The sequence below is a fragment of the Homo sapiens genome, chromosome 8 (genome assembly GCF_000001405.40).
Source record: "Homo sapiens chromosome 8, GRCh38.p14 Primary Assembly".
Taxonomy (NCBI): Eukaryota; Metazoa; Chordata; class Mammalia; order Primates; family Hominidae; genus Homo; species Homo sapiens.
Genome location: NC_000008.11, coordinates 47002866 through 47016963, shown reverse-complemented (window position 1 = coordinate 47016963; position 14098 = coordinate 47002866). Strand labels below are relative to the sequence as shown.

Sequence of the window (14098 nt, the reverse complement as noted above, 5' to 3'; positions counted from 1 at the left end):
GGCTATGTGGACTGAGCCGCAGAAGGAGTCTATAAGAAGTCAGCCAGACAGTGGCGATGTCAGCAAGATGGCAGAATAGAAGGTTCTTACCCTGGTTTTCTTACTGAAACACCAATTTAACAATATCTACGAATGAGAGCACCTTTGTAGGAGTTCCAGAACCCAGGGGTTGAGCACCCCAGTAGTGCACAAAAGCCCAGGAAAACTACATTAAAAAGCACAATTTAAAAATTTCCATTTTATTCATATCTCTAGTGCCAAGAAAGATGTCCTCACTCTGATTTCTCCAGTGGGTTAAAGAGAGACCAAGGTGGGTGTTCAGCTTCCCCAGCATTTGGGGCCCTTCCCAAGAGGCCCACTTCTGTCTCACCTCAAACAGAACACCGAGGAAGCAAGCATGGCTAGGCCACCTGGGGACAGCTAGGAACAAAGAAAGATGGTGGCATCTTTCGGTGGCTAGGGTGCATGGATCTTGGCAGTAGTCCACAGCCACAGTCATTGGCCTGGCCTGACTGAAGCCCCTCTCTCTGGCCTCACCTGTTCAGGAGCCAAGCCAGCTGGGCCCACACTACTGCAAAGCAGAAGCAGCAAGCTTCTTCTGACCACAGACTCTGGAGACACTGACAGAAGGCCTATCCATTCACAGATGCAACCATCTGGCTTGCCAGCATCTCAGGAGAGGCTGACTAGTGAAGGGTTTTCCCCTGGAAAAGCCAGCTTGTAAAGACTAGAAGAGGTGGCTCCTCCTTCAAATGAACCACCAATGTAAGAATACAAAGATTACAAACTACAAAAGAAAACTAACAGAGCTCCAAAAACTGACCCTAAATAGACATCTATAAATTACTTGAAATAGAACTGAAAACAATCATCTTAAAGATGTTCAGTGAACTACTAGAGAAGAGATAGATAAGCTCAGTAAGCTACTAGAGAACAGATAGATAAGCTCAGTATACTACTGGAGAATAGATAAATAAGGAAACTATATGAATAAGAAAAGTCCACAAGAGGAGGCAGAGCAAGATGGTGAAATGAAATGCTCCACTGACCGTCCTTCTGCAAGGACACCAATTTTAAAACTACATGAAAAAATGCCATAACCAAAAATCAGGTGAGCACTCATAGTACCTGGTTTTAACTTTATATCACTGAAAGAGGCACTGAAGAGACAGATAAAAAACAGTCCTGAGTTATTGACGTCACTCTTCTCCTGCCCCCAGCAGCAGCATCATGGTATGGAGATTATCTCTGGGCACTAGGGGAGGGAGAACACAGTAATTGTTAGGCATTGAACTCAGTGCTTTTCTGTTAGAGTAGAAAGGAAAACCAGACCCAACTCAGCTGATGCCTGCCCACAGAGGGAGCATTTAAACCAGCCCTAGCCGGAGGGGAATTGCTGATCTCAGTGGTCAGAACTTGTGTTCTCACAAACCTCACTACTGAGGACTACAACACTCTGTCTCCCAGTAAACTTGAAAGGCAGTTTAGACCATAAGGACTACAATGCCTAGGCAAGTCCTAGTGCTGAACTAGGCCCAGAGACAGTGGACTACAGTGGACTGGTTGGGGGCGGGGTGGGGAAACATGATCTACTTAGACACCAGCTGGGGCTGCCCAGGGAATACTGGCATCATTCTGATACAGGAACTAAAAAGATATTATTTAGGTAGATAGGGTAAAAGTCCTCAGTAAGGTTTTCCTTTCAATAAAAAGCAGCCCCCAAATAATTTTTTTTTCCTAACAAAAAGCAGCCTGAAAAATCAAGCTGCAAGCATAGACAACTTGCATAGATAAATGCTGGCAGCTGTGCCAATAGGAAAGGGATACCTGGAAGCCAGGTATAGTCAACATGGAAGTTCCCTTTTTCTGTTTTTTTTTTTTTTTTTTTTTTTTTTTTTTTTTTTTTTTTTTTTGTCACCACGTGTGCAGCACGAAGCAGGCAACATGGTGCCAGCCTGTTAGAGACCGAATTTGCATAATAAAAGATCAGGGTGGGATGGCCAGCCTCTTTGTGCACTATGTAAATGGCACACCTCGTTTAACCAATCCTCTGTGCCCTATGTAAATCAGACACCACTTCCTCAAGCTCATCTGTAAACCAACTACATCTCACTGTGAACCCGAAAACCGTTTGGGAACTCTTTGCATAAGAAAGCGCTCTTCTTTCTTTTTCCTATTAAACTTCTGCTATTAAACCCACTCCTTGTGTGTGTGTCTGTGTCCTTGATTTCCTTAGCGTGAGGCAGTGAACCTTGGGTACTACCCCAGACAAATGACACAGCTTCACTGTGGGAGCTTGTCTGGGATTATCAAGAGGGTGAGTATAGGTAGGAGTGGACCTCAACTCTGTCCTTTCATTTCAGGGCTCTCCGCCTCCATTTTATTTATTATTTTTATTTATTTATTTATTTATTTTTGTGACAGAATCTCACTATAACACTCAGGTTGGAGTGCAGTGTCATGATCTTGGTTCACTGCAACCTCTGTTTCCCAGGTTCAAGTTATTCTCGTTGCTCAGCCTCCTATGTAGCTAGAATTACAGGCATGTGCCACCACACCCAGCTAATTTTTGTATTCTTTAGTAGAGATGGGGTTTTGCCATATTGGTCAGGCTGGCCTCAAACTCCTGGCCTTAAGTGAGCTGCCCACCTCGGCCTCCCAAAGTGCTGGAATTATGTGTGAGCCGCCACACCTGGCCCTTGGCCTCCATTTTAAAATCAAATCAGACCATATATTGTGTGTCTGATGGCCATCTAGATGCCTCTAGGGTGAGCTGTGGTTCTCAAGTCTCATGACAGGCTTTTTGGAGAGAACATGGCGAATCCCCCAGTGCGCTCAGATTGCTGGGCATTTTGTCTATGTTTCAAACCGGTTTCTCTTCATGGAAGACCTAGCCATACTCTTGGGGCTGGAAGAGGTCCTGGAGCAACTGAGGATTTCTGGCCAGGGCTACACCCTGGTGTCATTCAAAGGCTTCTGGACTGACCCCAGCCTCCAACTGCCCAATCGGATTGGCAACAGTATCTCCAGCTTTTTTAATTGCAAATGTTCTCCTTTCCTATCCACGACCATCATGTCTCCTATCCTCTCTCTCTCTGTGCAATGCTGTGGGAATTTTTACAGTTCAGGGAAATAGTCCTGTTATGAAAGATCAGAAAATGCTATAGTAACTGGGAGTGTAGCTCAAGGGAATGCCGTTTTTGTAATTTTCTAGGAGCAGAAGGTCTCCCCAAGTGAGTGTTTCTACCCTTCCTCTGGCAAGCACATGGTATTTCTAGGTCAACAGCATCACTTAGTGGAATAGAAGTTCATTCCATGAGGCACATTGTTGGTCCTTTGCTGAGACACTCTAGCTTCCCAATTCTCCTCCCTTTTTGCACCCCTCTATTAGAGTCCAGGCTTTATGCCTCTTCTGTGAATAAGAAAAACTATGCCATCAATGATCAGAAGGAAAATGTCCTCTGAAACCAAATTTTAGTCTCAAAACTGTCCATCAGCAGGAAAACCATCATTTAATCACTATTTTCTTGTAAGGCATCTATCCTGCTTGTAGTTAAAATGGTACTTAAATAGTAAGGGGATTGTAAGTCCAGAAGCTAACCAGAACCATTCTCTAAGGGTAAATGCTTTAGCACAGGCCATAATTGCAGGATATAGAGTTCAATCTAGTACACCCCCTCCATTAAAGGGGCCTTGGCCAAATGCAACTATTACATAGTCTTTCCTGAGATCTGTCTTTCAGGGAGCCATGCAGATCATACAAATCTAGGAAGTGAAAGGGGAATCACAAACAGAACTAGGGCTGCATGGGTACACATGACTAAACTCATCACTTAGTTCCTCTGGTTCCATGGCTTGGGGGTCATGCTGGCAACCCTGGGTGGCATGTTTAACAAGGTGCCAGGACCCCAGGAACCAAGGAGAGGAAACAGTAGGGGGAACGCCCCCAGTGTCTTCCCCGCCACCTTGGACCATCCCAAGGAAAAGATCCTTTTTTTCTCACTTCTCTTTCTAGATCGGTATCAGACCGTTTTCAGCCTGCACTCCTCTCAAGTGTATTCTGAGAGATTGGGACTCCTTTAACTGCAAAACTTTGAAGAAAAAAGCAGTTCATTTTTCTTTGCACAAGGGGATGACATTCTTACTAGACCTTTGCAAGCACTGCAAAATCAACCCAGCTCTTTCAGCAGTCATATCAGGCAGGTGTATAGAGAATGATTCCCCAGTATTAAAGAAGTAAATTATAGAGAAACCATCTGAGGATCCCCCTTATTTGGGACCCCTTTAAGTTCCCTTCTCATTACAGGACCTTAGGCAAATAAAGGGAGACTTAGGCCAATTTTCTGACAACTCTGATAGGAAGCTTTCCAAAATTTAACTCAGATGTTTAACCTCACATGGAGGGAGGTTATGCTGCTCCTAAGCCAAACCCTCACTGCTGCTGAAAAACAGGCAGCTTTGTAGGCAGTAGAAAATTTTGGAGATGAGCAATATATCTCCTATAGTAGGTCAAAAAGGAAAAAAGGAGATAGGGAAGGTGATATGTTTTGGCTCTGTTTCCACCCAAATCTCATCTTGAATTGTACTCCCATAATTTTTATGTGTTGTGGGAGGGACGTCGTGTAACATAATTTGAATCATGGGGGTGATTTCCCCCATATTCTCATGGTAGTGAATAAGTCTCATGAGATCTGGTGGTTTTATCAGGGGTTTCTGCTTTAGCATCTTTCTCATTTTTTCTTGCCGCCGCTATATAAGAATTGCCTTTCACCTCCTGCCATGATTCTGAGGCCTCCCCAGCCATGTGGAACTGTAAAGTTCAATTAAACCTCTTTTGCTTCTCAGTCTTGGGTATGTATTTATCAGCAGCGTGAAATGGACTAATACAATAAATTGGTACCAGTAGAGTGGGTGTTGCTGAAAAGATACCTGAAAATGTGGAGGTGACTTTGGAATTGGGTAACAGTTTGCAGGGCTCAGAAGAAGACAGAAAACATGGGAAAGTTTGAAACTTTTCTAGAGACTTGCTGAATGGCTTTGACCAAAAGCCTGGTAGCAATATAGACCATAAGGTCCAGCCTGAGGTGGTCTCAGATGGAGATGAGGAACTTGGGAACTGGAGCAAAGGTGACTCTCCTTATATTTTAGCAAAGAGACTGGTGGCATTTCTCCCCTGCCCTAGAGATTTGTGGAACTTTGAACTTGAGAGAGATGATATAGGTTATCTGGCAGAAGAAATTTCTAAGCAGCAAAGCATTCAAGAGGTGATGTGGGTGCTGTTAAAGGGATTCAGTTTTATAAGGAAAGCAGAGCATGAAAGTTTGGAAAATTTGCAGCCTGACAATGTGATAGAAAAGAAAAACCCATTTTCTCAGGAGAAATTCAAGCCAGCTGCAGAAATTTGCGTAACTAATAAGCTGAATGTTAATCTTCAAGATAATGGGGAAAATGTCTCCAGGGCAAGTCAGAGGTCTTCATAGCAGTCCCTCCCATCACAGGCCAGGAGGCCTAGGAGAAAATGGTTTTGTGGACTGGGCCCAGGGTCCTCGTGCTGTGTGCAGCCTAGGGAGTTGGTGCCCTGCATCCCAGCCACTCCAGCTGTGGCTGAAAGGGGCCAACATAAAGCTTGGTCCATGGCTTCAGAGGGTGCAAGCCCCAAGACTTGGCAGCTTCCACATGGTGTGGAGCCTGTGAGTACTCGGAAGTCAAGAATTGGGGATTGGGAACCTCCACCTAGATTTCAGAAGATGTATGGAAACAACCGGATGCTCAGGCAGAAGTTTGCTGCAGGGGCAGGGTGCTTATGGAGAACCTCTGCTAGGTCAATAACAGAAGGAAAATGTGGGGTCAGAGACCCCATATATAGAGTCCCTACTGTGGCACCACCTAGTGGAGCTGCGAGAAGAAGGCCACAGTCTTCCAGACCCCAGAATGGTAAATCCACTGACAGCTTGCACTGTTCGCCTGGAAAAGTCACAGACACTCAATGCCAGCCCATGGAAGCAGCTGGGAGGGAGGCTGTACTCTGCAAAGCCACAGGGGCAGAGCTGCTCAAGACCATGGGAACCCATCTCTTGCATCAGCGTGACCTGAAAGTGAGACCTGGAGTCAAAGGAGATTATTTGGGGGCTTTAAAATTTTACAGCCCTGCTAAATTTCAGATTTGCATGGGCCCTGTAACCCCTTTGTTTTGGCCAATTTCTCCCATGTGGAATGGCTGTATTTACCCAATACCTGTACTTCCATTGTATCCAAGAGGTAACTAGCTTGCTTTTGATTTTACAGGCTCATAGGCAGAAGGGACTTGCCATGTCTCAGATAAGACTTTGGACTGTGGACTTTTGAGGTAATGCTTAAATGAGTTAAGACTTTGGGGGACGGTTGGGAAGGTGTGATTGGTTTTGAAATGTGAGGACATGAGATTTGGAGGGACCAGGGACAGAATATGGTTTGGCTCTGTGTCTCCACCCAAATCTCATGTTGAATTATACTCCGATAATTCCCATAAAGTTGTGGGAGGGACCCAGTGGGAGATAATTTGAATCATGGGAGCGGTTTCCCCCATACTGTTCTAGTGGTAGTGAATAAGTCTCACGAGATCTGGTGATTTTATCAGGGGTTTCTCTTTTGCATCTTCCTCATTTCTTTTGCCACCATGTAAGAAGGGCCTTTTGCTTCCTGCCATGATTCTGAGGCCTTTCCAGCAATGTGGAACTGTAAGTCCAATTAAGCCTCTTTTTCTTCCCAGTCTTGGGTATGTCTTTATCAGCAGTGTGACAACAGACTAATACAGAACACAAAGAAATAATGGAAACGCCATTCCCAACAGGAAGGGAAATAGTTCCTCTTGACAATCCTGATTGGAACTCCGATAGCTCCACAAACGAATGGAAAGAGAAACTCTTTTTAATGTGCATATTAGAGGGCTTACAAAGAACTAGGACCAAATCTCTTAATTACTTTAAGCTGTCCATGATAGACCAAAAACCAGATGAGAATCACACAGCCTTTATGGAAAGGCTGAGAGAGCCACTAATAAAACACACCTCCTTATCCCTTGATTCAGTAGAAGGACAGCTCATCCTAAAGGACAAGTTTATTACACAGGCAGATCCTGATATTAGAAGGAAGCTGCATAAGGAGGCTATAGGAGCAGATAGCACCTTGGAAAACCTCCTGAGGGTGAACACTTCGGTCTTTTATAATAGGGATCAGGAGGAGGTCGAGCAGAAAGAGAGGAAGCACAAGAAAACGACAGAGGCTCTAGTAGCCGCTTTGCAGGCTTACAAAGTTCAGGATCCCCATGGTGCGTCTGCTAGTGGCTATCGATGTGGAAAGTCAGGACACTTTAAGAAGGAGTACCCAGGCAGCAAGGAAAAGTCACCTCAACCCTGTCCAGCCTGTGGCAAAGACCACTACAGATCAGACTGCCCCCGGAGATGGAGGTCACCGAGTTCAGAACCAGTCTCACACATGGTCCAACAGGACTGATGGGTTCTGGAGCTCAAACCCCTGGCTGTAGTGGCTCAAACTGCCATTAGGAGCCCCAGGTGATTCTGGAAATTGGAGGAAGAAAGGTAGACCTCCTTTTTTTTTTTCTGACAGTCTCGCTCTGTCGCCCAGGCTGGAGTGGAGTGGCGCGATCTCGGCTCACTGCAAGCTCTGCCTCCTGGATTCACACCATTCTCCCCCCTTCAGCCGCCAGAGTAGGTGGGACTACAGGTGCCCACCACCACGTCTAGCTAATTTTTTTTGTATTTTTAGTAGAGACAGGGTTTCACTGTGTTAGCCAGGATGGTCTCAATCTCCTGACCTTGTGATCCGCCAACCTTGGCCACCCAAAGTACTAGGATTACAGGCGTGAGCTGCTGCATCCAGCCAGGTAGACCTCCTTCTAAACAATGGAGTCAGCCTCTCTCTCCTCTCTCTAATCCAGGCCTCCCCTCTTCTTGTGGCACCACCATGTGGGACATCTCAGGAAAAACTCTAATATTTTTCTCAACCCCTTAGTTGCACTTGGGGGGACCTATTATTTGCAAATGCCTCCAAGCCATTGCCACGGTGGTCCTACTGGTCCTAAAAGCCACCAAATTAACCTGGGAAATGACTTAACTGTTTACACCCCATATGATGTGGCAGGATTACTGTCTTCTAGCGGGGAGCCTTTGGCTAACAGACAGTTGGCTCCTTAAATATTAGGCTCTGCTGTTAGAGGATTCCACAATCCAGTTAAAAACTTGTTCTCATCTAAACCCAGCCACTTTCCTTGGGGAAACTGAACATGACTCTGAACAAGTTATAATACAGACCTATGCAGCCAGGGAAGATCTCAGGGAAACTCCCCTAGAAAATCCAGATTGGACCCTCTTCAAAGATGGGAGCTACTTTGTAGAGCAAGGGATCCATAAAGCATGATATGCAGTAGTCACTCTAAGTGACATCATTGAAAGTCTCTCTCTCTCCAGGCACAAGCACTCAATTAGCTGCACTGATAGCTCTTACAAGAGTGCTTGAATTAAGCAATTGAAAGGTAGCTAGCATTTACAGTAATTTGAAGTATGCTTTCTTAGTTCTCCATGCTCATGCTGTCATTTGGAAAGAAAGCCATTTTTTCTTACAGCTAATGCATCTCCCAAAATTACTGGTTATTATCCTCAACTTTTCCTTCCATGAGAAATAGCAGGAATGCATTGAAAGGGACATCAAAGACAACCGATAAAGCAGACAAAGAAAATACGTTTGCTGATCAGGCAGCTAAGTCAGTGGCAAGGAAGCCTCAGCGCATCAACATACTTCAAGCCCCCCTAATTTGGAAAGGCTCCATAAGAGAAATTAAACCTCAGTACTCCCCTGCAGAAATAGGATGCATCACTTCTTGAGGATATACTTTCCAGCCCTCAGAACAGCTACAGTCAGAAGATGGCAAACTCCACTTGCCAGCCTCCAGCCAATGGAAAGTTTTTAAATCCACCAGGCATTTGATTTAGGAAAGAGTAAAACTTACCAGTGTGCCCAAAAATTTTCAAGAAAGAATTTATTAAGAACAGTCAAACAGGTTGTTAATGCTTGTGAAGGCAGCAGCTTTCTCCTCAAACCCAAAGGATGGGAAGCTTTCCAGGGGAGGTCTGGCAGATAGACTTCACCCACATGCCAAAGGTGAAGGGCATTCAACACCACCTGGCATGGATAGATACTTTCACTAACTGCATAGAAACCTTTCCACCCCATACAGAAAAGGCCTCCGAGGTAATAAAGCTGTTTTTCTGTTTTGTTTTTGTTTTTTTTAAGACGTAGTTTCACTCTTGTTGCCCAGGCTGGAGTGCAATGGTGCGATCTCGGCTCACCGCAACTTCTGCCTCCCAGGTTCAAGCGATTCTTCTTCAGCCCCCCGAGTAGCTGGGATTACAGGCATGTGCCACCATGCCCAGCTAATTTTGTATTTTTAGTAGAGATGGGGTTTCTCCATGTTGGTCAAGCTGGCCTTTAACTCCCAGCTCCAAACTCTGGAGATTTGGAATTGGTGAAGGCTCTCCCTTCTCTCTCTTTGTCCTGAGCCCAAGCTGGGAAGGGCCCCACACTGTTTTTCTTTCAGCCCCCTCAGTGGTAAAAGTTACAGGTGTCAACTACTGGATTTATCACACTGGAGTCAAAGCCTGGAAAGCTGTGGGAGCAACCCCTGACAGCCCAGAGGAACATCCTGAATATCAATGTGAAGAAATAAGATATCTGAAGCTACAAATCATAAAAGATAAGTGAGAGCTACTCATCTTACTCAGTCCCACCTTTACCTCAGCAAATACTTTGTCATTTTTATGTTTCTCTTTAGATTTGCCACCAGATATTAGAACTTCTTTTTAATGCATTTTTGCAGAAAGATTTTAGTTATCCTTGGGATTACATTTATAACTTCATAGACCCCCAAAGAGAAATTCTATGTCTTGGCAAGTAAAACTTTTTGATGGAAATTATCTACTACACCACCCTTGCAGAATTATATACTCACTCTACTATTTACAGAAGGATTATATATTGTAGCAACCCCAGAGTGGAATATTGGATAAAGAGCCTCAACTACTGTAATATTTTGTGGAATTATTATCCTTATAGCAGGGATAATAGTTACTGACAGGAAGTAAACATGAAAATTTTACTATCACTAAGTTAGCTAGGACTTCTTATTGGGTTTGGTAATATGTCACACCCTAGCTATTCAATTAAGGTCATAAAGGAAGGATATTTTGGCTGGGTGCAGTGGCTCACGCCTGTAATTTCAGCACTTTGGGAGGCCAAGGTGGCTGGATCACAAGGTCAGGAGTTCAAGACCAGCCTGACCAAGATGGTCCCGAGTAGCTGGGATTACAGGCATATGCCACCATGCCCAGCTAATTTTGTATTTTTAGTAGAGATGTGGTTTCTCCATGTTGGTCAAACTGGCCTTGAACTCCTGACCTCAGGTGATCTATCCACCTTGGCCTTCCAAAGTGCTGGGCAAGATAGTGAAACCCCATCTCTTTATGAAAAATACAAATTTTTTTCATAAATTTCTGGGTGTGGTGGTGGGCACCTGTAATCCCAGCTGCTTGAGAGGCTGAGGCAGAGAATTGCTTGAACCTGGGAGACTGAGTTTGCAGTTACCCGAGATTGTGCCACTGCACCCCAGCCTGGGTGACAGAGCGAGACTCCATCTCAAAAAAAAAAAAAAAAAGATTTTATATAAGAAAGGATCTTGGATGGTAAATTCTTGTCCTAAAAGGAAATAACTGGTTGTTTAAAAAAGGGGTGTTTAGGACTACTAAGAAAGTTTAAGCATGTCATAAATGGTCTGTGGAAATTGTGAAAGGATTGATAATTGCTGGAAAAATTTAGCCAAGGTTAACACTAAAGTTACTTTAGCCACCCAAATTTAATGCCATTTATCCTAAAAAGAATGTTTTTTTTTTTTTTTTTTTTGAGATGGAGTCTCACTCTGTTGCTCAGGCTGGAGTGCAATGGCTCAATCTTGGCTCACTCCCCGATTCAAGCAATTCTCCTGCCTCAGCCTCCTGAGTAGCTGGGATTACAGGCACCCACCATCATGCTTGGCTGATTTTTGTATTTTTGTAGAAACGGGGTTTCACCATGTTGGCCAGGCTGGTCTTGAACTCCTGACCTCAGGTGGTCTGCCTGCCTTGGCCTCCCAAAATGCTGGGATTACAGGCATGAGCCACTGTGTCTGGCTAAAGAATGTTATTTTTATCTTAACGTTTCTGGTAAAGTACAGCAACATTTGGTGGAGGCAAACAAGTATTACAATCCATTAGAATAGCTAACAGGTATCAAACTCTACTGTTATGGTTATGGCCTATAGTACCCCCACTAATAATGGTAATCTTAATACTTATATTCAAACCCTATATTCTAAACTTTCTTGTAAAATTTATCTCTTTTCATCTAGAAGCAAACTCCAAATGGTGCTGCAGACAGAACCACCTACGGACACACCTTTCTTCTGAGGACCCATAGATCGACCCCAGGAGGAGCCCTAAGTGCTGTTCCCAGCACAACACTTCTTTTCAGCGGGAAGTAGCCAGAAAGAGTCGTCGTTTAACACCCCCTAATGGCAGTTAGGGATACCACTCTTGAGGAATGTGTCACTAGTAGACATAGTTATAAAGACTTGCTAAAGGAAGTTTTTAATAGACAATCCCCATTTGAGTTTTATATGTCATACTTGATACTTGAAACAAAAATTATAACAGCACTTGATATTCAAAGCAATTATATTTAAAAGTGTAAAAAATAAAAGGACTTAAATGGGAGTAATATTTCCATACTTCAAAGTCATATATCAGTAGAATGAGATATATTGTAATATCCACAGCGACTACTACAAAAACTACATACTTAAAGTGTGTACCTCTCTAAAAACACCATAAGTAAATCAAAATGAATTTTTTTTTTAAAATGTTTAACCTACAGGAAGGCAAAAAAACAACAACAAAGAAACAGGAACAAAACCAGAGGAAGCAAACAGAAAATAATAAAATAGCATACTTAAGCTCTAAGGTATCAAGAATTGCCTTAAGTGTAAATAATATGCATACAGTGATCAAAAGGCAGAGATTGACAGTGTGTTAAGTATGAGTAGTGGGGAGAAACAAAGATTATTTTAGAAAATGACCTAACTAAATTCTGTCTACAAAAACTCACTTCAAATTCAATGACAGGTAGGTCGAAAGTAAAAGAGTGAAAAATGTATATTATGCAAACAATAATCAAAAGAAAGCAGGAGTGGGTGTATTAAAACTGGAAAAGGTGGCCAGGCGCGGTGGCTTACGCCTATAATCCCAGCACTTTAGGAGGCCAAGGTGGGTGGATTGCCTGAGCTCAGGAGTTCACAACCGGCCTGGGCAACATGGTGAAACCCCATCTCTACTAAAAGACAAAAAATTAGCTGGGCATGGCAGTGTGCACCTGTAGTCCCAGCTACTCAGGAGACTGAGGCAGGAGAATTGCTAGAACCTGGGAGGCGGAGGTTGCAGTGAGCTGAGATCGCCGCACTGCACTCCATTCTGGGCAACAGAGTGAGACTTGTCTCAAAAGAAAAAAAATAAACTGGAAAAGGTAAACTTATAAAGCAAATAAAATTACCAGAGACAGAAAGGAACATTAATTACAGAAATCTGGGGCTGCCTGAGGGCCATTAGCACATGTGCTTAAGAATAAAAAAGTCTACTTTAAGCTCAGAGCAGAGAAAGATATCCCTTCACAAAGTAGTGAGTCCAGCACTTTATCTCTTGGTAAGAACATGTTCCAGGCTCAAGACACATTATTTGGCAAAGCAGAGGTCCAAAGACTGCCTGCACAAAGTGCCTTTCCCAATGATATCTATATACAAAAACATGAACCAAACCAAAACAATTTAGAGCTGACCTCACACATGACACAACATACATGCCAGTGAATCAAAGGGCTGTTGAAATCAAAATAAAGATGTAGAGCTGAATCTCTAAATTTAATGTTAAGAAAGAATTGCAATTTGAAGCATACGTATAGATTGGGTGGTCTTTGGTATGTCCAAAAAGCAGAAGGTTGGGAGTTTTATATTACTACAAAAGAGGAATGTGACATGTATTCCAGAGAGAAAATGTACTGTTTTTAGTAAAGCTTTGATTTGACTCTCTTACCTGGGTCCAGCACTTAGGTGATTTGGCTCTCTTACCTGGGTGCAATGTTGCAGGGCCTAGGTTATTTGACTTTCTACCTGGTCCTGGCTGACAGGTCGGATTATGACATATACAGGGGCCCAGCACCTGGGTGACTTCTACCTTGGCCATGCCCAAAGGTGAGATTGTGACATATACTTGGGCCTGGCACCTAGGTGATTTTACCCTCATACATGGGCAAAGCCCACAGGGAAGATGGTAACTCATTTCTGAACCCAGCTCACTGGCCATATGATGACTCTCAAACCTGGACCCAGCTAGTAGGAGAGATTTTGATTCTCATACCTGGACTAGGAACACAGTTAAGATCATGAGTCTCATAGCTATATGAAAGTATCAGAGAAAATTGTGATTCACTTACCTACTATATAAAGCCCTCAAGTGGTACACAGTGTCATAATAGGGCCTACCTCATAGGTCAGAGTGTAACTCTTCTATGCACACCAAGCCAACAGCTAGTATTGTCACACTCATATATGCACACAGCCTGCTGCTGAGGTTTTTAATCTCACATCCAGATGCAGTCAAAAGTTGCAATTGTGACTCATACATGGATCTGGTCCACAGGTGGAATGGTGACTCATTTCTGTACTAAGGCCACAGAGAGAATTGTGACTCCCATGCCTACTGTATAAAGCTCTTGGGTGGTACAGAGAGTGTCATAACAGGACCCAGCACACAGGTGAGATTGTGACTCTGATATGCACATCCAACAAACTCTTAGGACTGTCACCCTCACACAAGGACACAGCCTATTCAGGTGAGGTTCTGAATCTCACACCCAAACACAATGGAAAGGCTGATTTGACTCATTTGGGCTGGAGGAAATGGAAATAACTTTTACCTCATTTGCATTTGTGACTTTTTCACATAGAAATATTTACAAATGGACA

General features: G+C 43.6%; 1 long non-coding RNA gene across 5 annotated transcripts in view; it reads right to left on the bottom strand.

The window, feature by feature from the left end:
• Window positions 1-13321, bottom strand: part of LOC105375815 (uncharacterized) — an 80550-nt gene extending 67229 nt beyond the window's left edge. For 3 of the 5 annotated variants that reach the window (XR_928842.3, XR_928841.3, XR_928840.2), the window contains exon 1: window positions 13167-13321. This is a non-coding gene — a long non-coding RNA (uncharacterized LOC105375815). Of the gene's footprint in view, window positions 1-1128; window positions 1252-13166 lie in introns of those variants that run through there. The other 2 variants (XR_928844.2, XR_928843.1) reach the window with 2 other exon arrangements.
• Window positions 13322-14098: the final 777 nt, after the last annotated feature.